Source organism: Homo sapiens, chromosome 1, assembly GCF_000001405.40.
Source record: "Homo sapiens chromosome 1, GRCh38.p14 Primary Assembly".
Taxonomy (NCBI): domain Eukaryota; kingdom Metazoa; phylum Chordata; class Mammalia; order Primates; family Hominidae; genus Homo; species Homo sapiens.
Window position 1 is genome coordinate 163,297,277 of NC_000001.11, and position 23,079 is coordinate 163,320,355.

General features: G+C 37.3%; 1 protein-coding gene and 1 long non-coding RNA gene across 32 annotated transcripts in view; both read right to left on the reverse strand.

Moving 5' to 3' along the window:
* RGS5 (regulator of G protein signaling 5) overlaps positions 1-23,079 on the reverse strand; it is a 179,437-nt gene that overhangs the window by 154,978 nt on the left and 1,380 nt on the right. For 2 of the 9 annotated variants that reach the window (NM_001414478.1, NM_001414473.1), the window contains exons 2-4: positions 21,906-22,015; positions 11,268-11,355; positions 8,957-9,053 (exon numbers count right to left, since the gene is read on the reverse strand). Coding sequence is in view for 1 of the 9 variants with exons in the window: in NM_001414476.1 (NP_001401405.1) it covers positions 21,906-21,907 (2 nt within the window). In the remaining 8 variants the exon portion in view is untranslated. The remainder of the gene's footprint in view (positions 1-8,956; positions 9,054-11,267; positions 11,356-21,905; positions 22,016-23,079) is intronic. The other 7 variants (NM_001414477.1, NM_001414474.1, NM_001414479.1 and 4 more) reach the window with 4 other exon arrangements.
* LOC127814295 (uncharacterized) overlaps positions 1-23,079 on the reverse strand; it is a 77,231-nt gene that overhangs the window by 52,772 nt on the left and 1,380 nt on the right. For 2 of the 23 annotated variants that reach the window (NR_182650.1, NR_182652.1), the window contains exons 2-4: positions 21,906-22,015; positions 11,268-11,355; positions 8,957-9,053 (exon numbers count right to left, since the gene is read on the reverse strand). This is a non-coding gene — a long non-coding RNA (uncharacterized LOC127814295). Of the gene's footprint in view, positions 1-1,093; positions 4,367-6,929; positions 9,054-10,843; positions 13,130-19,427; positions 22,016-22,370; positions 22,456-23,079 lie in introns of those variants that run through there. The other 21 variants (NR_182654.1, NR_182653.1, NR_182633.1 and 18 more) reach the window with 19 other exon arrangements.

A 23,079-nucleotide genomic window follows, 5' to 3' on the forward strand; every position in this document is an offset into this window, starting at 1 on the left:
GTGCAATACAGATAATGCGTCAAGGTTTCAGTTAGCTAACTTGCATTTTTTGATCAGTAAAGAGTCCAGTGATAGCTGGACACACGAAGATTGTGAGTTATTTGTGTAGGAGAGCTATGTTTTCTGGACCATGAAGAAAGGTAGACTTATACCTTATCTGCTTTTTATTTTTGCTTTCTCTTGGTCCCACCAGCCTGACTCCCTTTCCCTAATTAGGATTCCCCATTACCTTTGTTTAAGATACTTTTCCTAGCCATCTCCTCTTAGCTGGGTCTTTCCCTACATCCTTCTTTCTTGTTTCAAAAAACAATGGCATTTATCCTAAAGTTTAAACTTTCTTTGAGATTTGCTCCACAGTTGTACTCATTTCTCTGTATCTTCTCCCATGTAACATGTAACATGAAGTATACATTTTAATAAACTTCTGCTTGTTAACCTGTCTTTTGTTACAAGGAATTTCAGTTAAGAACTACAGAGTAGAGAGAAAATTAGTTTTTCTTCTCTACAAGAACAAGAAACAAAATGAAATATATTCCCAATAGTTTCACAAAACAATTAAATCATAACTAAATTTATAATAAACAAATTATTTTTGAAGACATTCGTAACAATAAAGGTAATGTATTGTTTTATCTTTTTAAATTTTTTGAGCTGGGAATTGTTGACTGCCAAGTCATTAGGGAATATCTCCAAGACTGCTTTTGTTTGAAAACTGTTGACTTGTTTCTCTGAAAGAAAAGTACAGCCACTATTGTTTACTATTGATAGGTTTGTAGGACTTTTCATTCTTTAATTTCCTTGTTTGATATAACAAATATTTATTTGAACACTAACAATACACAAGGCAAAATGCAAGGGATGGAGGGAAAACAGGACATATAAATATGAAATATGTATTTTATATATATATGTGCATATCACTTCATTTGGAGTGATAGAGAAGACATATGCATGTATACAAATAAAGATAACTAATCATATAAAACAACAAGTAAAATTCCAAATTACTCTTGTAATTGTTTAGGGGAGAGAAAATCTTCTATCCTCTGAAGGTTCAATAATTGAATCTATGAAATAAACTGACAGTAGACAGTTTAGTAGGAGAAAAGCTATTTTAATTACACACAGGAGTCCCACAAAGTAGAGGACTTGAAGAGGGGCCAGATGATAGAAGTTTTTATAGCATCCTGAGCTAAAGAAAGGAGTAGGGGTTGGTGGTTTATCGGGGGTGGTGTCTATACAAGTTGCAGGGGAGTAAGAGGAGGGAATGCATGGAGAACAAAGGTTGTCTTGTTATACAGATAACATCTCTCAGGTAATAAAAGTTGTCTCCAAGGATCTCATCAGAAGAAGAGGTAATGGATAGTTTGTGACAAAGTCTTTCTGGAGTGTGGTGTCTCCTGTGAGTTAATCTTCCTTCACTGATGAGATTCCCAGGGAGGATACCTATGACAATTGTGTTTCTTTTTGGAGGCTCTATCTTCAGCCACTTAAGGGAGTTCAGAGAGAGCCCTTTCTTGTATTTGCTGTTTCCCAAGTGCCCTCAGTTTGAAATAATTAGCATACCAAAATGCTACATTTTGAGGTTTACTGAGTCTCAACAACTGCTACTATGCAGGTTAAGTAGATAATTACCTTGAAGATGCTGGAAATAAAATAAAATCCATGCTTGCCTTTAGAGAACAATCAAATTTCTGTGATAGAAGCACATACATGAGAGGATGGCCATTTGTGTTTCTCACAGCCCTGCCTCTTAAATTCAAACACTGTTTCATGGGAATTGTTAAGCCAGTAGTATGTTGGGGGTAGGCACTGCAGAGATGAGAAAAGGAGCTGAATAGTATAGACATGTGAAACATGCAATTTAAGTATGCAGTGCAGTTTTACAACCTTATAAGAACAAATTATACTATTATACAGGAGGAGTAAATTTGAGCAACAGTTCAGTGTTTAAAATGTTAGTCTTCTGTTCTTTATTGCTGTATTTTATATATTGGGAGGAAAAGGCTGTAGAGAAGCCAGTTGAGGAATGACAATCTAAGTGCCTATCTTGTACTTGCTTGTCTTTTCCAAATTTTGAGGGCTTCAGCCATACCACAAAAGAGCAACAATGAAAAACTCAGGGAGTCCATTGAAGACAAATGGAGGTAGTCTTTGGCAAGGACTTTTGGTTTTGCCTTCGTTCTGCCACCGTAAGCTAAATATATTGTGAAGGTCCCTTAATGTCTGAATCTGAGCTGCCTCATTTGTGAAATGAAGATAATAATGTCAACACAGGGTTATTATTGTAATAAACAATTGAGAAACAAGTGAAAATGCTTTGAAAAGCTGGAAACACATTATATGTGAACGTGCTGCTGCTTTGTGTTGATGACAACTCGAAAACAAACACTGGGATATTTTCTCATGGAGGGAAACCATCTTTGGGTCATGGAGATAAAACATTCTGAGAAATAATAGTTTAAATTCTCTGTTTTCTAGTAGCCAGTACCACAGTTTCTGAGGAAAAAAATCATTTCGATCAAGTAGATATTATTCTTTCCTGACTGAAAGACAAGAATATACAGTTTTCTTTCACCAATGGTGCCCCCAGTGTTTTGTCACAATTTTTCTCTCCAATTATTCTGAGAATATTTTGGAAAGGTAGCAGAAATTAACCTTTCTTAAATGACTTGTGTGTTTTCTTTTAAAAAGGAGTACACATTACTACAGGGTATTAGGTCCTACTTTCAACTTTATAGCTTTCAATGCTTGCCTCATCTATCATTTACATTTATCATTAACTTTCATGTTTCCCGAGGTAAACAGTGAAATTATCTCTTTTCTAGAGAGGCAGAAAGATGAGCAGAAAAGAGGGGCTCACTCTGATATATCACTCCTGAAGTGTGAATGATGTTAGTGAATCCCATGATGGTCTAAGGCTTGGAGAAAAGATGAGATAGAGGGCAGTGGTCTTGTGATTCTCACCTCAGTCTCACTGGGACGGAAGAGTGTCCTCTTGCAGGTGGAGGTTACCAAAACAAATGAGAGCTAAGTTCTAAAGCAGCCTAATCTTCTCATTGTTCCCAGACATTGAGCCCAAGATGTTTCTGTTCTGAATACGATTGATCGTATTTCTATCCTCTGTGATTTAGCTTCCATCACTTTCTCCATCTTACTTTAAATTCAAAATATCTTTCAGTGCTCAAGTACTAACCAGGTTATCAAGTCCTAAACCAAATCATTTGATAAAAACGTGTGATATGCCTGACCATTTTGTTCTTCTTTCATGTTGCAGCCTTAATTTTCTAGCAGCTCTTTTAAGACTGAAAGTACTCCAACAGTTAACAAGTGATAGCTGTAATTGGCCTCAAGAGGATTCATGAGTCTCATGGGAGATTCTGCTTGGCGAAGGGGAAGGTCACCTTCATCTAATCTGAAATAAATTTGAGAGTCTCACAAACATGAATCCAGAACATTAATAAAAACAAAGAAAGAAGCACTGCCAAAAATGTTACCCAAGCAAATCTCTCAAGGGCTAGTCTTCTGGGACTGATAAAATCACGTACATTTGCGTAAAGCCTGTAGGAATCCTAGTGTGTCACAGCTGTGCACTTACCAAGTGTATTGACTCTGAATACAAAGTGAGAATAAATCTAAGATACAGCTCACGTTGTGTTGTGCATAGGAATAAGTTTGAAAGCAGGCTACAGGCCTGGTATGGGAAGACAAGGGAATGAGTAGTTCTTCAGCTGCAAATCTATTTTAGATACTCAGCAATGAGGTTGAGGAGAAAATATATGAATAAAGGCGGGTACTGGTGATAATTCATTTTTGAAAGAAAAATGCCAAAATAGGGAGGCATTATCTATAAACACATAATTTCAGCAATGGTGGTTATTTCAGCCTTTGACAGGGCACAGGACACTTTGGATAACTGTTCCTCTAGGTGCTATCTCAGAGAACAAATTTATCATCAATCATTGTGGCCTATTTTAATGGACAAAGACACAAACTGAGATAGAGGAAAAAATCAGAATTCTAGAGGAAAAAAATCAGAAACGGGCAATTATCCAGAATGAGTCTTTTTTTTTTGAGACAGGGTCTCACTCAGTCACTGAGGCTGGAGTGCAGTGGCACCATCTTAGCTCACTGCAGCCCAGGCCTCTTGGGTTCAAGTGGTCATCCCACTTCAGCTTCCTGAGTATCTGGAACTACGGGTGTGTGCCACCACACCCAGTTAAGTTTTGTATTTTTTGCAGTGATAGGGTTTTACCATGTTGTCCAGGCTGGTCTCAAATTCCTGAGCTCAACCGATCCTCCCGCCTTGGCCTCCAAAAGTGCTGGTATTAAAGGCGTGAGACACCACGCCAGGCCCAGAATGAGTCTTTATAAAGAAAAAAAATGAGCCTATTACTGCTCAATTCTCCCCTTCACTCTGGCTTTCACAGGCCATAAGCCCCCGTGCTTTGTTATTCCTTTAAGTACACAGGATCCGTGAGACTCCCTGGTTCACCTGCTGAGCTAAATTCTATACTATTTGGTCAGGGTGTAAATAATTAAATAGAAATTCTTGCTTTCACTTCATAATTATCAAAAGATACCCCAGCTTTTCCCAGGGTTCCTGGTTTAACCATGTGATATTTCAATTAGGAAGAAAATCTAACTTTCTCTAGTATTGAAGAAATCAATTTAAAGTGAGTATTTGGACCAAATTTTCCAAATATTGGCTTCTTAATTTTTCCTGTTTTTTTTTTTTTAGTTCAGATAGATATGCTGTTTTTTATTTTAAGAAAAAGTTTTTTTCATATAAAGAAAAATATTTTGAAAAACATTTTTTTAAATCTCTTGGGAGCATCTTCACCTGCTACAATAAAATAAGATACTCTGAAGACTAGAGAAGAATAAGTAGTAAGTAAACAATAACTCATGTGGCAATTAGTCTTTAGTGAGCTCCCAAAATGTGCCAGGTATACAGTGGTACTTATAACTTCCAAGCATAATGAGAGCATTTGTAGTCTTTTGTATATGCAAGGAAACTGAGTTTCAGATAGGAAATAACTTAAGATCATACAGAAGGAGAATGTGGATTTGAACCCAGAATCTTTTCATACCTAAGCTTGTGATTTTCCCACTTACCTATATTTCCTTTTCACCTAATATGTTTCTTAAGCTATGTGTTAAAAACAACACTAATAGCCCAAGTTTTTCTTGGAAGTGATTTGTTTGGGATGATTCTTTACACTCTCCCTTGTCGCTACTGGTATGCATTGTCACCCTGGATCAGAAACCTTCAAGCATCAAATCAAATTCTTTTGCTTATTCAGATTTCTAGCCTTCTTCCCTCCTACCTCTGGCTCCCTTGGTATGGTCCTGCCTTCCCTTTCTAATATTTTCTGCTTTAATTTCCCTTTACCCAATCAAACCACAGTCAAACCAAATGACTAGCTGTCCTCTCTTCCTCTGTGCTTTCCCATCTCCATGCTTTTACTCAAGCCATTCACTCTACCGGAAATGACCTTACCCCTTCCTCACACCAAATTCAGAAGCCTTGATCCTGCCATCTTTCTCAGGCCAGCTCAAGTTCTTCTCTTGCTTTTGTGGCTGGAAGTAATTTCTCCCTCCTGCAAACCTTTATAGCACTCTCTTAGTATATTTCTCATGAACTCATCACTTTTTACTTTGTAATATCATTATTAATATTTGACTCTCATTTGCTCCTCTAGACTGAGTGAAGGATCTATGACTGATTCACCATTTTGTCTTCCACAGAGCCTAGCTTCTAACTGAAGCTAACATAGATGTAAGAATGCTAGATTTTGAAAGAACACATAGTTAAATTTTAATTTCAAATGGAGAAAAAATAATTTTTAAGTATATTTGGATACTTTTACATATTCAAATATTATATGAAACATACTTACATTAAAAAATCTTCATTCTTTATGTAAAATTCAAATTTAACTAAGTGTCCCATATTTTATCTAGCAATCCTCCCAACAAACTCTTATCAAGTAGTTTTTAAATAAGTGAATTGCATCTCAGTGGTTCAAATCTGCAACTACGGTATCATTAGCACTGGCTGAAGTAACTTCAAATAGTAGTAAATTAAGATAGCTTTGAAAAGAATCATAGTGGTAATTTAGTCCAATCTTCTAGCTTGTGGATTATTTTTTTAAAAAGAGATCTCTCAGAGACTTGCTCCAAATCACACAACTAACACTCAATTACACACCTCTTTAAAATTGGAACTTAAAAATACAAAGTAGAATCATCAAAACGTCAGAGAGCTATAAGGATGAAGAGAGCTTCTGTATACTTAAACTGTACTTCTGTATTTGCTCATTCACTCATTTGAGACTGGCATTAGCAGCTCTATCAGTCCTTGTTTTTCTGGTATACAATCAGGGGTTCCCAAACCCCCAGCTGCAGACAGGTACCGGTCTGTGGCCTGTTAGGAACCAGGCCACACAGCACGAAGTGAGTGGCGGTGAGTGAGCATTACCACCTGCCTGAGCTCCATCTCCCATGAGATCAGCTGCACATTTGATTCTCAAAGGAGTGTGAACCCTATTGCAAACTGCTCATGCGAGGGATCTAGGTTGCACACTACTTATGAGAATCTAATTAATGCCTGATGATCTGAGGTGGAACAGTTTCATCCCAAAACCAATCCCCCCACATATCCAACGCCCTTGACATCCAACTCCTGCTCCCCCAACCCATCCCATGGAAAAACTGTCTTCCAAAAATGAGTCCCTGGTGCCAGAAAGGTTGGAAACCCGCTGGTCTACATGTCTCTCTATACATTTGTACACACTGTTTCAAATTGTAAAGTCTTAAGAGTCAGTGACTGTCCTATCTGGTCACTGATTAATCTTGCCTGGTTAATGAAATGTGATTATAAAAGGACCCCCAAGATATATTCATAGAACCAGGGAAGACATAAGTAAAATGATCTAGGTCAGAATTTTTATTTCCTGCACTTCTGGCAGCAATTTTCTTCCCTAAATCGCTGGTACTTCTCCTTAGGATACTCAGGGGCTCCTGCCTGTCAGGCTTCTTTGCTTGCAAGGCCTTCTCTCTCTGGCACTTCTTCCTTTCATCAGAACTTTCCTGTCCTGCTCTTATCTGCTCACCAGGTGGGAAAACAGCTCGAGAAACTAATCTGAGCAAAGGTGTTAAAGGCTGACATGGATTTAATAGGTTTAATATGCATCTTCTCCAAGAAGCAGGTCAAATGTCATACTTTCTGTGAAGATTACTCATTTCCAAGGAGGCTAACTGCTTCCTCCTGCAAGCTACCACCACACTTCTATCAACCTTCTAGTAAAGTACTTCTCTGGCTGAAGTTTAATTTGCTGTATATTAATATGCACACACAATGTCTCTTTTCATGTTTATACTGCCAGCACCTACTATAGCATCTACTTCATAATAGGCAATCAATATATATTTGTTAAGTAAGTGTTTTGTTAACTTGATTTAAACAGGTGATCCCTAGATGTTTAATAGTCAATACAATGATTCTTCAATGATTACCAGGGCCACACATTGGGAATAATCAGTAAAGAAGTTTTTAAGGTCTTGGTCTAACAAGTAGTCTTCAATTGTGTGTAGCATTTCAGTAATAGCATTATTATTGGTTCAAGAGTGTTTATAAGATAGAGCGTTATAAAACTTGAACTACTTGGTTTCTTCTACTTATTGTCTCCAACCATGCTATCTTAAACTTTTCTCTCTCATTTTCTTTAATGCCATCCTGGCCAGACCATATAACTTTCTGGTTACTTATAATAATTAAAATATAGATTTGTCTAGTTTAAAACAGAAGGGGAGAAGATAAAGTATGGCACGCTTTTTCACTCCTTCCTTCCCTCTTTCTAGGTCTGTTTCTCTGAAGTTAGGGGCAGGAAGGAGGAACAGAAAAATCATAGGTCATCTTACAAAACCATCCATATACTGGACTGAGATGTAAGGCTTTTCTGGAATGATCCTGGTCTGGAATTTTGGAATGGCTGTGTGCTGTCCTGGTGGCTTCTGTTGGTTTGGTGGTCTCTGTAAGGACAGAGTGCTCACTTTCAGAAGTGTCTAGTCATCCTAAAGCTACTAGCTCTCCATCCCTGCTGCAATCTTTTTTTCCGTGTGGGGGTTCCCTCTCTTTGCCCTGTGGCTGTATGAGCTGCTCTAGAGATTCCGCACCCCACCCCAACCACTGTATCTTTTCACACAGAGCTTCAGAAACTATTGGTCCTCTTTCAAGTAGTCATTACTTTGGTGGCTTGCAGCCCTACACACTACACTAGTAAGCTTTCTGCCTGCAGAACATCTAAATGATTAATAAGTACTTTCCCCCATGTTTGCAAACACACTCCTCCCCCAAATTCCTTGACAAGCTCTCCTAAGGATTCTCTCTTCATGCTCCACTGTACTCCAATGGGAGCTCTACAGTGGGCCTGCAGGTTCTACAGATCAGAAAGGAACAAGAAGAAAGACTCTCCCTTTTGTTTGCATCTCTATCTACTATGATTCTCTTGTAGCACATTCCCCTCACTTGACTATCCTCTTAGCCAACTGTTCTTAAGTAGGGTCACTAGTCCTCAGCTGGTCAGCTTGGAGAACTGCTACAAAACTGTGCTCCAGGGTGCACCTTCTGCTGCTGGCATATAGCTACCTTCAGATCTGCTATGGAGTCTATAACACAGATTATTAAAAGTTGGCTATACAACTGTTTCTTATTTTTTTTAATCTTTTTTATGACTATACATCTTAAACAGTTTCACCATTAGAAAACTATCATGTTATCTGAAAACTTGGGGCTTGGGTACATTTTAATCATTTCTACAATGCTATTCCGTTATTCTCATTTCAATTTTATCTTGTATATTCACTACATGCACAGCTTTAGAATTCACAAACACTGTCAGTCCTGGGTAAATGAGGATAATCCTCTATGTGCTGTTGACTGAAACCTTACCTTCCTCTGTGAGAGACCCGAAGTGTCACCAATTCAGTTAACTTTCTCCTTTTTCCCTCTGAAGATATCCAGACAGTGCTTTTTAAGCGCTCTGTTTCTAAGAAAAATAAAATGAATCGCATGTACTCAGCATGTTGCACTCAAAGAGCATTGGTAATATAAAAATAAGTAATTAGTACTCAGTTTTCAAAGGAGGTAAAAATCCAGGAATTGCATTTTGTTCTGAGGCAAGCTGGTATATTTGCCCTGGTTTGAGCCATCAGGCTATTTATATAGATCCTGCCCAGGAAGGCCTCTGGCTCATGATGCTGTGAGCCATGTTTTATGGGTTGAATTGTGTCCTCTAAAAGAGATATGTTGAAATCCCAATCCCAAATACTTCAGAATGTGACCTTATTTGTAAATAGGGTCTTTGTAAAGGAAATCAAGTTAAACTGAGGTCATTAGGTTGGGTCTTACTCTAATATAATATGACCAATGTCCTTATTAAAAAAAGGAAATTTGGACACAAAAATACACACAAGAATGCCATGTGAAGATAAAGGATATTGGGGTGATAAATCTACAAGCCAAGGAATGCCAAAGATTGCCAGCAAACCACCAGAAGCCAGGGAGAGGCATGAAACCGATTCATCCTCACAGCCCTCAGAAGGCATCAACCTTGCTGATATCTTAATCTAGTACTTCTAGGCTCCAGGACTGTGAGACAATGAATTTCTGTTGTTTAAGCTACCTAGTTGGTGATACTTGTTATGGCAGCCCTAGCAAACTGATGCATTATACCTTAATTCTAATCTCCTAATTTCTGAATTATATATATTCTGAATATATAAAAAGGGCTCCCCTCCCACTTGGGAACAACTCCTATAAGAGGTGAGGGCTGAAACAGAGGGAAGACCTACTGAGATTCTGATATGGGATAAGGTTCCTCAAAGCATGGTTTTCCTGCCCTTAGATCTCTAGCTGCTATCTCTCTCTACCACATCCCTCTTCTAAGTCAAAGAGATGACAATGTCAAGTAAAAATTGATTCTAGTAGATCCTCTACTTATTTTCTTCTCTGAAATGAAATAATTTTCTTCCACATAAATCTAGGGGTCTACATTGCCAAGTGGTAAAATAGTTGGAGAACTTAACAATGTCTTCTCAATTTTATGTGTGACATGAAAGTGAGAACTTTTTTTTTTAACAGAAAGGAAATATCAAATCATGTAGAAAAAGTCCCTCATTTTACTAAGCAGGAATCAATACCCAAAAGATTTCTAGTCCATTAATCCTTCCACTGGGTCCCATGCCGGTTAAGGATGGGAGACAGAGAAGCGTGCGGATTAGGAAAGTACTGTACTTCTGCAACTTAATGGCAAGTGAGATAACTTTGGCTTTAAGAGTAATAAAAAAAAAAGGAGCTTTAGTAACACATGATTGGTTCAGTGATGAGATCTGCGGCCAAAAGCAATGTCTAGTACATGAATCAGAAATTCTTGATACTACTCATCACTGAAGTACAACGGAATTTCAAAGGAAAGAAAAGAAGTAAATTAATATTTATTGACCACCTTCATTGTAACACTACTTAATATCCATTATCTCATTTAAACTTCACCACAGCAGCCTTATTAGTAACCATATTTTATAGAAGAATAAACTGAGACTTAAAGATGTTTAGAAACCTTATCCAGAAAATAATGAGCAGTAACTGGCAGAAATGAGATAGAAACTTACATCTGTATCAGCCTGCTAGGATAGCAGTTGTTCTTAACTCCATGAACAATCTGCATCCTAATCACTTGCAGAACTACTTTAAAGTGTGAGTTTAAAGTTCCTAAACCCAGAGATCCTGATTCAGTTGGTCTGTGGGTGGGGTCCAAAAATTTGAGTTTCAAACAAGTTCAGTATCACATTTAATTTTTACACAAGTCAGCAGTGTGCTACATTTAAAAAAGTTATTCTTTGAAAATGATTCTCAAGTGAATCTTAATCTTTTACATATTAGTTCAGATTAGTCACTATACCATAGAAACTGTGCCATTCTAAAATAGAATGAAAATAACCCCTCCCCATTTCAGTGTTTACCAGCATATTGTGTGACACAATAAGTAATAAGTTCCAACTATGAGATTATTTGAATAAGTACAAGGAAAAGTTAGACACTGACACAGGATGGACAATGTTGTACTTTGACAAATAGAAACATTTAAAAATTATCATCTATTATAATCATCTAGAAAAAGAGATAACACAAAAAATATAGGAAAGGCATAATATTAAACTGTTTTATAAGCCAAATAAATTTAGTTTTATAAAAAACTTACTTCACTGTCCTTATTTTTCTCATTTAAATTAACAAAACTTCATCAGGAACCAAAACAGGTCAATGGATTGAGCCATGCCAATAGTTCACTGTCATGAGAATAAAAAGTCCAAATAAGACTCAGTCTTTGACTTTAAAGGTATTGCAATTTAATTGAGATAATCAAATTTACCTGCATGAAATGACTCAAAACCAATATAAAATAGTACATAATTATGTACAGGCATACCTCAGAGATATTGCAGGTTCAGTTCCACACCACTGCAATAAAGTGAGTATCACAATAAAGGGAATGACACAAATTTTTTGGTTTCTCAGTGCATATAAAGAGTTATGTTTACACTATAGTCTGTTAAATGTACAAAAATATTATGTCTAAAAATACACAAATCCTAAGTTAAAAATACTTTATTGCTAAAAAATGCTAATGCTCATATGAGTCTTTAGTGAGTCATCATCTTTTTGCTTATAGAGGGTCTTGCCTTGGTATTGATGACTACTGACTGATCAGGGTGATGACTGATAGGCTGGGTGTAGTGGTTCATGCCTGTAATCCCAGCACTTTGGGAGGCTGAGGCAGGAGGATCACTTGAGCTGGGGAGATAGAGGTTACAGTGAACTATGGTAGTGCCACTGCACTCCCACTTGGGTGACAGAAAAAAAAGCGGGGGTGGTGGTTGCTGAAGGTTTAGGTGGCTGCAGCAATTTCCTAAAATAAGACAACAAATGAAGTTGGCCACATCAGTTGACTTTTCCTTTCATGAAAGATTTCTCTGTAGAATGTGATGGTGTTTGATAGCATTGTACCCATAGAACTTCTTACAAAATTGGAGTCAGTACTCTCAAACCCTGCCACTGCTTTATCAACAAAGTTTTGTAATATTCTAAATCCTTTGCTGTCATTTCAACAATGTTTAGAGAATCTTTACCAGCAATAGATTCCATCTAAGGAAACCTTTTTTTTTTTCTTATCCAAAAGAAACAACTCGTCATCCATTCAAGTTTTATTATAATATTGCAGCAATTTAGTCACATCTTCAGGTGCCACTTCTAATTCTAGTTCTCTTGCTATTTCCATCACATCTTCAGGTGCTTCCTCCACTAAAGTCATGAAGTCATTCATAAGGCCTGGAATTAACTTCTTCCAAATTCCTATTATAATAAATTGACATTTTGACCTCCTCCCATGAATCACAAATGATCTTAATGGCATCTAGAATGGTGAATCCTTTCCAGAAGGTTTTCAGTTTACTTTGCCATATCTATAAGAGGAATCACTGAAGCAGGTCTAGCCTTATGAAATATATTTCTCAAATAATAAGACTTGAAGTTTGAAATTATTCCTTGATCCATGGGCTGCAGAACAGATGTTGTATTAGCAGGCAAGAAGCAATATTAATCTCCTTGTAAATCTCAATCAGGGCTCTTGGGTGACTAGGAACATTATTAATGAGCAGTAATATGAAATAAATCTCTTTTTTCCAGTCTCGACAGAGTCTCAATAGGGAGCTTAAAATATTCAGTAAACCATGCTTTAAATAGATGTGCTGTCATCAAGGATTTGTTGTTCCATTGACAGAGTAGAGGCCGAGTAGATTCAGCATAATTCTTAAGGGCTGTAGAATTTTCAGAATGGTCAGTGAGCACTGGCCTCAACTTAAAGTCACCAGTTGCATTATCCCCTAACAAGAGTCATTCTGTCCTTTGAAGCTTTGCAGCCAGGCAATGACTTCTCTTCTCTAGCTATGAAAGTCCTTAGATGGGCCAGGTGCGGTGGCTCACGCCTGTAATCCCAGCACTTTGGGAGGCCGAAGCGGGCGGATCACGAGGTCAGGAGATCAAGACCACGGTGAAACCCCATCTCTACTAAAAAATACAAAAAATTAGCCGGGCGCAGTGGTGGGTGCCTGTAGTCCCAGCTATTCGGGAGGCTGAGGCAGGAGAATGGCATGAACCCGGGAGGTGGAGCTTGCAGTGAGCAGAGATTGCGCGACTGCACTCCAGCCTGGGCGACAGAGCAAGACTCCGTCTCAAAAAAAAAAAAAAAAAAAAGGCCTTAGATGACATCTTCTTTCAAAAGAAGGTGTTTTGTCTACATTGAAAATCTGTTGTTTAGCGTAGTCACTTTCATCATCTTAGCAAGATTTTCTGCATAATCTGTTGCAGCTTCTGCCTTAGCACTTGCTGCTTCACTCTACACTTTGTATTAGTCCATTTTCATACTCCTATAAAGAACTGCCTGAGACTGGGTAATTTATAAAGAAAGAGGTTTAATTGACTTACAGTTCAGCTTGGCTGAGGAGGCCTCAGGAAACTTACAATCATGGCGGAATGCAAAGGGGAAGCAAGGCACCTTCTTCACAAGGCAGCAGGAAAGAGAAATGCCGAGCAAAGGGGGAAGAGCCCCTTATAAAACCGTCAGATCTCATGACAACTCAATATCACAAGAACAGAAGGGGGGAAATCACCCCATAATCCAATTACCTTCACCTGATCTCTCCCTTGATACATGGGGATTATGAGGATTATAATTCAAGACCAGATTTGTGTGGAGACACAAAGCCTAACCATAACACACTTGTATGTTATAAAGATGGCTTCTTTCCTTAAGCCTCACAAACCAACCTCTGCTAGCTTCAAACTTTTCTTCTTCCTCCTGTCTGTCAGCCTTCATATAATTAAAGAGAGCAAGTGCCTTGCTCTGGATTAGGCTTTGGTTTAAGAAAATGTTGTGGCTGATTTGATCTATCCAGACCACTCAAACTTTCTCCATATCAGCAATATGGCTGTTCTGCTTTCTTATCATTTGTGTGTTCACTGGACAAGCACTTTTAATTTCCTCCAAGAACTTTTCCTTTGCATTCACAAATTGGCTGTCTGGCACAAGAGGCCTAGCTTTTGGCCTATCTTAGCTTTTGATATGCTTTTCTCACTAAGTTTAATCATTTCTAGTTTTTATTTTAAGTGAGACATTTGACTCTTTCTTTCACTTGAAGGCTTGGAGGACATTATATGGTTATTAATTGGCCTAATTCAAATATTGCTGTGTCTCAGGAAATAGGGAGGCCCAAGGAGAGGGAGAGAGATGGGAAAATGGCTGGTCAATGAAGCAGTTAGAACACACTCAATATTTACTTATTAAGTTTGTTCTCTTATATGGGTGGTTCTTGGTGCCCCAAAACAATTATAATAGTAACATCAAAGATTACCGATTGCAGATCACCATAATAGATATATAATTAAAAAGTTTAAAATATTGAGAGAATTACCAAAATGTGACAAAGACACAAATTGAGCACATGCCACTGTTAACAATGGCACTGACAGACTTGCTCAATGTGGGGTTGCCACATACCTTTAATTTGTCAAAAATGCAGTATCTGCAAATCATAATGAAGTGAAGTGCAATAAAACAAGATATGTGAAGTGCAATAAAACAAGATATGCTTATATATAATTGATATGGTTTGGCTTTGTGTCTCCACTCAAATCTCATCTTGAACTGTAATCCCCGGGTGTTGAGGGAGGGACCTGGTGGGAGGTGGCTGGATCACGGGGGTGGTTTCCTCCATGCTGTTCTCATGATAGTGAGTGAGTTCTCATGAGATCTGATGGTTTTATAAGGGGCTCTTCCCCCTTGGCTTCCTTCACTTGCTCTCTCACCTGCTGCCATGTAAGACATGCCTGCTTCCTCTTCCACCATGATTGTAAGTTTCCAGAGGCCTCCCCAGCCATGCTGAACTGCGAGTCAACTAAACTGCTTTTCTTTATAAATTACTCAGTCTTGGGCAGTTCTTTATAGCAGTGTGAGAACGGACTAATACAATAATTATGTGGGACAGATAGTAGTTATATGTAATGGGAGACTAAATAAAAGAAAGATCTGTATGAAGTGAAGTGGAAACTAAAGGACTGGTGAAAGAAGTGGTAGCTGAACTAAATTTGGCTAGGTTGAAAAGAGGGCAAAGGGAATCCTAAATGGAAAAGGAGCAAGGCGCACAGGGTAGAAGTAAGCTACTGAAAACGACAGTGATATGAACCAGGATTGTTTAAGGAAACTAGCCTGATTAAAGCAGAGAATACATTTTAAACAGTACTGGATGATTAGGTTAGATAAAAAAGGTAGATTGTGATGATGTGAAAAATGGATTAGTAGACAGGAATCTGGACTCCAGCAGATATAAGAGCATTATATTTTCGCACACAGGGAAGAATCCAAAGTGAAAACATTATTTTGTACTGGTAAGTAATCTGTCCTAACTTTTGGTTGTGAAAACACAGGGTCTGACAAGTGCATGTATTCAATGAATTCTGGTTGATGGCATGATGGCTATTGTATTTGTAATCCACACAAAACCTCTGCAATACCTGCCAAGTCTGATTTATCTTGAGATTAGAATCTTAGTTTAAACTTCTACTTTCTACTTAGCTAATCACCTGCATGGTTTACCATTCTACTTTCTGTCTTTCAACCTAAAATAAAAATATAACAGGGTGAAATAAAATGTACTAATTCCCCATATAACGTTACACCTGAGCTGTGGTAAGGGGATAAACAGTGACTTCAGATAAATAGTTCAATATCAATTGGGGTAGAAATGTCTCTTAACACAACATAGTCTGGTTTATTCTAAAGAAATAATGTCAAAATTATGTTATTATAAATTCCTCATGCAGAAAAATAGTTATTTTCTTTAAAAAAAATTAATCCTCAGGGTAGAATATGTGGTTAAATGTGTTTTGTTTTAGTTAATACTAACTCTAGGAGAAAATCTTCAGAAAAGCCCTAGCCAATGAACAGAACTAGAGGCAACTGCAATCAACAAATCACTAAGCTGTGAAATATTTAACACAAAGGAAGAAAACTGAGAGAGAACTTTATTCTCTCTTTGGAGTGATAGGAGATTCTAGGAAAGAAAGGGATGGGAGAGACCCTAGAGGCTTCCAGAGGAATAAAATAGAGTCAGGAATGAGACAATACATATGTAGGGCATCTCTGAAGGCCTAGAAGGTCTGTGTAAGACTGCCAACCCACCCAAAGGCTTATGGAGGGAGAGAGACACATAATCCCTTGAACAACAAAGCATAGCAAAGAAATTCAAAGTATCCAACCAACTAAACCCTTCCCCACAGAACTGAGGAACCCTTCATAGGTCTATATCTTTTGTGTTGTACTGTAGGGAAGTGGTAGAATAGTAGGTATCTAAGGATACAATCCTTTCTAGAAGGATTCAGGGATAAAATCTGTAGAACATAAAAAGGGTCTGCTGCACAGGTTACAAAAATTAACACTGCCTCCACCAGTGTAAGCGTTTGAGATTAGGAAGCACAGTAGAGGAGCTAGGGACAGAGCTTCTAACATTAATTACTTGGGTTCAACTTTTGTCTTCCTGGTTTCCTAGATATGTGACCTTGAGCTAGTTGTTCCAGTTTTCTTTAAAGTAAATAAGATATATATGTGTGTGTGTGTGTGTGTGTGTGTGTGTGTGTGTTTATAAATGGAATAGGAAGAGAAACTACTTCATGCAGTTGTTGTGATAATTAAATGAGGTAATACATGGAGAACACCTGGCATCTGGTACATCTTCTGCAAATATGCACTATCATTATTATAAAATATTGTATAAAGGTGTATAAATGGAAATTATCTTAATGGATTGTCCTAGGAACAATATTCAGGTAATAATTTTGAATATATATGGTCAAACTGTGTTTACCAGGTTGAATTTGCTTAATAAAGAGTAAAGAAAAACTGGCAGCTGATTTTTCCAAAGACTAAAGATGAAATGAGATAATATTACTTGGTACTTATATAGAAATGCATAGACTTAGACCCCTTTTTGAGAAAACAGGATTTGAAAAAGATATAGAGAACTTAGAAGTGATTTTCTCCTAAGGGTCCATATTAGAAAATGTACTCTAGACAATATAAATCACTATCATAAAGAATTCATGAGAATGATAACATGGCACCAGAACTGTGACAAAACACCAACAAAACAAAACAACAACAACAACAACAAAAAAAACCTACTTATCCCCAAATTTTTCTGATTTATGATAGTTATTATGAGTTTCATTTTTTAAAAATTCCCCTTCTGCTATGGCATGAATATTTGTGTCTCCCCAAAATTCATATTTTGAAATTCCAACTCCCAAGGTGATATTAGGAGGTGGGGCCTCTGAGAAATGATTAATTCATGACAGGGGAGCCTTCATGAATGGGACTAGTGCCCTTAAAAAAGAGGTCCAACAAAGCTCATTCATGCCTTCCATTATGCGAGGGCACAGCTAGAAGATGCCATGTATGAACCAGAAAGCAAGCCCTCACCAGACATCAAAGCTGCCAGGGCCTTGATCTTTCCAGCCTCCAGAACTGTGAGAAATACATTTCTGTTGCTTTTAAGGTACCCAGTTTGTGGCAGCTTGTTACAGCAGCCTGAACGAACTAAGACACCCTTCTAAAATGTGTTATAACTAACTAATTAAAAATTAGAGTACAATCACTGCTCGGGTGACAGATGTACTAATATCTCAGAAATCACTAATAAAGTATTCAATCATGTAACCAAAAAGGACCTGTGCCCCAAAAACTATTCAAATAAAATTAGACTACATTAAGATCAGTATTTTTCCTGAGAATCTCATTAACTCATTTGAAATAACTGAAAAATAGCACTGGATATTGTAATACTAATATTGAAAATATACAGAATATAAAAATTGAAGTTAGGCCGGGTATGTTGGCTCATTCCTGTAATTCCAGCACTTTGGGAGGCCAAGACAGTAGGACTGCCTGAGGCCAGGAGTTCGAGATCAGCCTGGCCAACATAGTGAGACCCCATCTCTACAAAAGAAAACTGAATTTTAAAAAGTCACATTGACCAAAAAATTTTAAGAATATCTAATTTGTTTCAGCTGATAATTCCTAAGGTTCTCTATACTAACTATATTAAAATAATAGAGTTTGCTGTGAAAGTTGGGGAAATGATACTAGAGAGGTTAGAGTTTAATATAGCAACTTTTTGCTTCCTTGGATCTTGTTTAGAGCTCATCACAAATTAGCAAAGAATAGGTACTTTATAGTTCCAAACTAAGAATTCCATGCGAGTCCTTAACAAAGATACTGTATTGCAAATGTACAGCTCAGTTCTGAAATCCACTAATAAAGATGAACACAGCTGAGAAGTCAAGTGGATTAACAGGCTTGTAATGATGAAAGGGTAATAAAAAGCAGATAGCTATTTTGAATTCAACGCTATTTTTCTTCTTAACCCTGGGCTCTAAACATGTATTCTAATGCCAATAAATTTAGAATCTAATTTTTTTCATCCAGAACATTGTGTTCAATGTTTATCACTCTAATTTACTTTTATGAATGAAAATGAAATAAAACTTTCAAACTATGTAAGGTTAACACTAATGCAACAGCGCCACCCAGTGAATATGCTGTATATTCAAAAGTGTTACTAGAATTTACCATTTTCTTTAAATACTAGCGTACTTTCAAAATATCTATGGCCTCAACCATTTATATAAAATTATACACTACAATACTAACTCAAAAATATATAAAAGCATTACGCATTTTTACTTACCCATTTATAACTACAGTTAAGATGTGCTTTCTGATATTTGTGATTAAAGGGTTTTGCATATTAAATGCTACCTATGTCAGCAAGCTAGAAATGTTGGCTGATAGGAGAGACGTATCATTATTTCCTCTCATATGAAACATTAGGCAGGTATAAAACAATGACACTTGTTTGCTTTTGCAGATTTTGTATATATCGCATAATACAGTACATAGTTTCAAAGATTTTGTCTCATGCCCTTAATATAAAATGTGTGTTCATAATTTCACTTCATCTTGCTATTACTGTTCATAATTCATATAAGTGAATTGAATGATGGCATCAATAATACAACCATAGAATTTGTAAACCAATCAATAACGTAATGTGGTGCTTGAGCACAGGAGTTTGAGGCTGCAGTAAGCTATGATGACACCAGCCTGGGCAACACAGTGAGACCCTATCTCAAAAAAAAAAAAAGCTAATATGATATAATATCAGATAGCATTTTAATATTCCACTCTATAGTGACTAGAACATAGTTGGAATATTGCTTTCGGTATTAAGTCCACAAAAATCTAATAGAACACTTTTTATGTCATCTTTTTATTTCTCAGGAAATAGAAATACATTGGAGGAAAAGGCAAAAAGAACTAAAATATATTCAACAAAAAGAAAATTTCTTTTTCACTCTGACCTGCTAGTTTCCCTCCTCAGAGGCTACTACTATTACTTTGTTAGACGCATCATGTCTCAAAAGGAGTTCAGTTCAACAACAAATACTAATTGAGTGTGCAGTTTGTACCAGGCATGGTGTTAGGTGTTGGAGCATCAAAGGTCATTAAGAACCAGCCCTGTATAATAGTGGAGACAGGCACAAAACAGATCATTTCAATATAACATAAACTTTTTTTTTGTAAGTATGCAAAGAATCCATCTCAGACCTCTCTTTTTGAGTTTCAGAATCATTCATCCAATTGCCATGTATCTGGACATTGTCATGTGTATGTTTCACAGGCATGTTGAGCTAGACATGTTTAAAACTGAATCACCAGTTACCTCCCAAGTGAGTCTGCCTCTGTGTTACCTAAATCAGAGACTGGCATCCCATTTATCTGGGTACTCAAGCCAGAAAATTTCACTCGTACTTATCAAGCATCTCCAGCGTATAAAGATTTGTGCTAAGCTGTGGATACATGACAGCAAATAGGGTAGTCCCTGTCTTCACCAAAGCTTGTTTAAGAAACTCTATCCTTGATTTCTCCCACTTCTGCCCTCACAATTCAGTCACCAAGTTTTGCCACTTCTACTTCCTAAAATTCTTCTGAGATCTATTTCTATCCACACTGGCAATGCCCCAGTATAAACTGCCATCTTTCTTTCCCTGGATTACTACAATTATCTCCTAACTGGTTTCCTTCTTGCTGGTATTGCTGCCCTTTGAGTTCTTTTTCTCAGAGTAGCGATTCATCATCTAAATACTAACCTAATCATGTTGAAACCATTCAAAGTTACTATTAGCCTTAAGAAGGAGTCCAAACTTTGTGACATCATCACTAATGTTCTTCATGATCTGGTCCCTGTTTACCTCTCCACCCCTGTCTAGAATCTCTCAGTTCCTAGACTGTGTTCTTCTTCATAAACATTGTTAGCCTCTATCTAGAATACTTGTTTTTTACCCTTTCAATTCCTAGCTATTATCAAGCATGGAGCCAATAAGACTGAACTGCCTTTTTTTTTTTCTTTTTTCCCTATGAGAATGTAAACTCTGTCAGGAAATTATTAGATTGGTTATTGCCATATTTGCTTGTTCATTATTATATTTCTAGTATCTAGCTCAGTGTCTGGCACAAAATAAGGGTTCAATGAATATTTTCTGAATGAACCCACAAATGTCAAGAAAGCAGAGAGAAAAGTCAACTAACTCAGACTATGGAACAAGGAAAGGCTTCTTGCAAGAGCCCTAAAAAATTAGTAAGGATAAGGAAGAGTCAGCCAAAGAAAATAAAGATAGTCCAGACAAAGTCAACAAGAATGCAAAAGGTCTCAGGTGTAAAGCAGCCTCATGAATGCGAAGTGGGTAGGATGGGAGATGGTACTGGAAAGGGAAACAAGACTGGGAAGGAAAACAGTGGCAAGATAATGAAGACCCTAGCACACCAGGCCATGGAGTTGGACTATCTTGAAGGTGACTGCAGAGGAAGATTAGAAATTTAAGGAGGCAAGTGAAATAGATTTACATTTGAGACTGGTCATTCTGGCTGCTACTTACAAGATGGATTTGGCGGTGTAGGTGGGGGTGGTAGTAGTTATGGCTGAAAGCAGTGAGATGAGATAGAATTGGGAGTACAAATGAAAGCAAAGGACAAATTAGAGTTTGAAGGGCTCGTGAGCCTCCCGAAAGTCGGAACTTCAAGGAACAGGTCAGGAATAGCAGTAGTTTTAGAATCCATGAGCAAATAGGTTAAAACAATGAGTGGACAGTGCTCACAGGGAAGATACAGACAGAAAACAACTCAAGGTTGGAACTTTGGGAAATACTATTTAATGGGTAGGCAGAGAAAAAAAGACCCCCAAGAAGCATGAGACAGGTAGAAAAAGATGGGAGAAATGCAAAACGAGTTTCAAGGAGGGTTTAATCAATGATACCAAATGCAAAAGAGAGGTCTAGAACAAGAAACAGTGGTCATACATTGGTGGAGGAAGTACATTTCATTTTCTGAGACAGACAAATAAGACAGGTGGATATATGTGGCATTGACAGAAGTGGAGAGGGAGGAAGTTATATATTGTATGATGGCTTTAATTTTCTCAATTAACTGGGAAAAAAGTACTGGGATTGTGTGTGGCCCCTATGGAATCTCTATTCATAAGAATGGGTGCCTGATGGGAAGTAGAGTGTAGGATCCAGTCTTAGTATTTCACCTATTCCTACCACATTAGACCAAGTGAATCAACTTTTTGTCCCTATTGATCTGTTAAAGTAGAAATAACAATTTGGAAACCCTGTCACTTAAAAAAAGAGATTTGTTTAAAGCACTAGATATCACAGCATCACCACTTGCATTAAAGTCCTAGCTGCAGGCTGCCATGGTCTCTTTGGAACACCCCCATCTTGTCACTCAAAGGTCCACTCAGTCCTGATAGGTCTGTCATCCAGAATTTAAAGTGCAGTCTAGAAAAGGAACATGAAATTAAAATTAGAAAGGCAATAGACACAACAAATTGCAGATGCATACGAATGTGTTATGTGCTTGAAACACACCTTTAAGACCACTCTGGTCACTTTCTATTAAAGAGAGGAATTTAGGTTGGGAAGAGGAATGAAGAAAGGGTAAAGTTTGTGAGAAATCACTGAAAGTTACAGGACAGGGAAATTACTGATGATAAATTAAAGGATTGTCAGGAATCAGGGAAAGAGCTGAAGATGGAGACTGACAATCTGTCATATATCACTTTGTGTCATTTTCTCCAGTGTTTCCAGCTAAGAATTTATAGACAAGATGCACGGATAAGATTTTGACAGGCACCTGGGTCAGAGGCATCAGACACAGGAAGTTTGGATGCTGATAAACCATGCAGTCTAGGCTGTGAAGGGAGGTATTAGCAGGAGGGCTGTCAGGGAAAATGAAATAGTAGGGCAAATGTAGCACATGTGAGGGTACAAAATTATGATGCTACAATCAGAAAGAATACTAAAGTTTTCTGCAATAGTCTGTGTTTTTATGGGTGATAACAAAACTCTTAGACTAATGTCTAGGTTGAGAATTCTGATGTTCCACCTTCTACCTTACACTGACCAGTATCAGGCAACTAAAAGTTTTAAAAAGTCAGATTTAACCTTCTAATTAAGGTAATTTGAATAAACACTCATTTTTTAAATAAATAATTTACTTCTAATATAACTCAATTTATCACATCAATAGTAATATTAACCCCCAAATAAACAATATTTATTGTTGATATAACAAAATGGTTGTCTTGCTCTTTTCTTCCTTTGCCTCATTTTTCTCTTTCTCCATGGTCCATTCTAATCTTGGCTTTCACATAAATCGCTTGGTTTTTTTTCTAGATTCTCAACGACAATTTAGACATTTGTTGAGCACTTGCCACTTGCAAGGTATTTTCCTAGGGACCATGTATAAATAATAATAGTCAAAATAACAGCTAATACTTTTCAAGTACTCACAATTTTGCCAGGCACTTAATTAAGCACTCTACAGGAACTAATTCACTTAA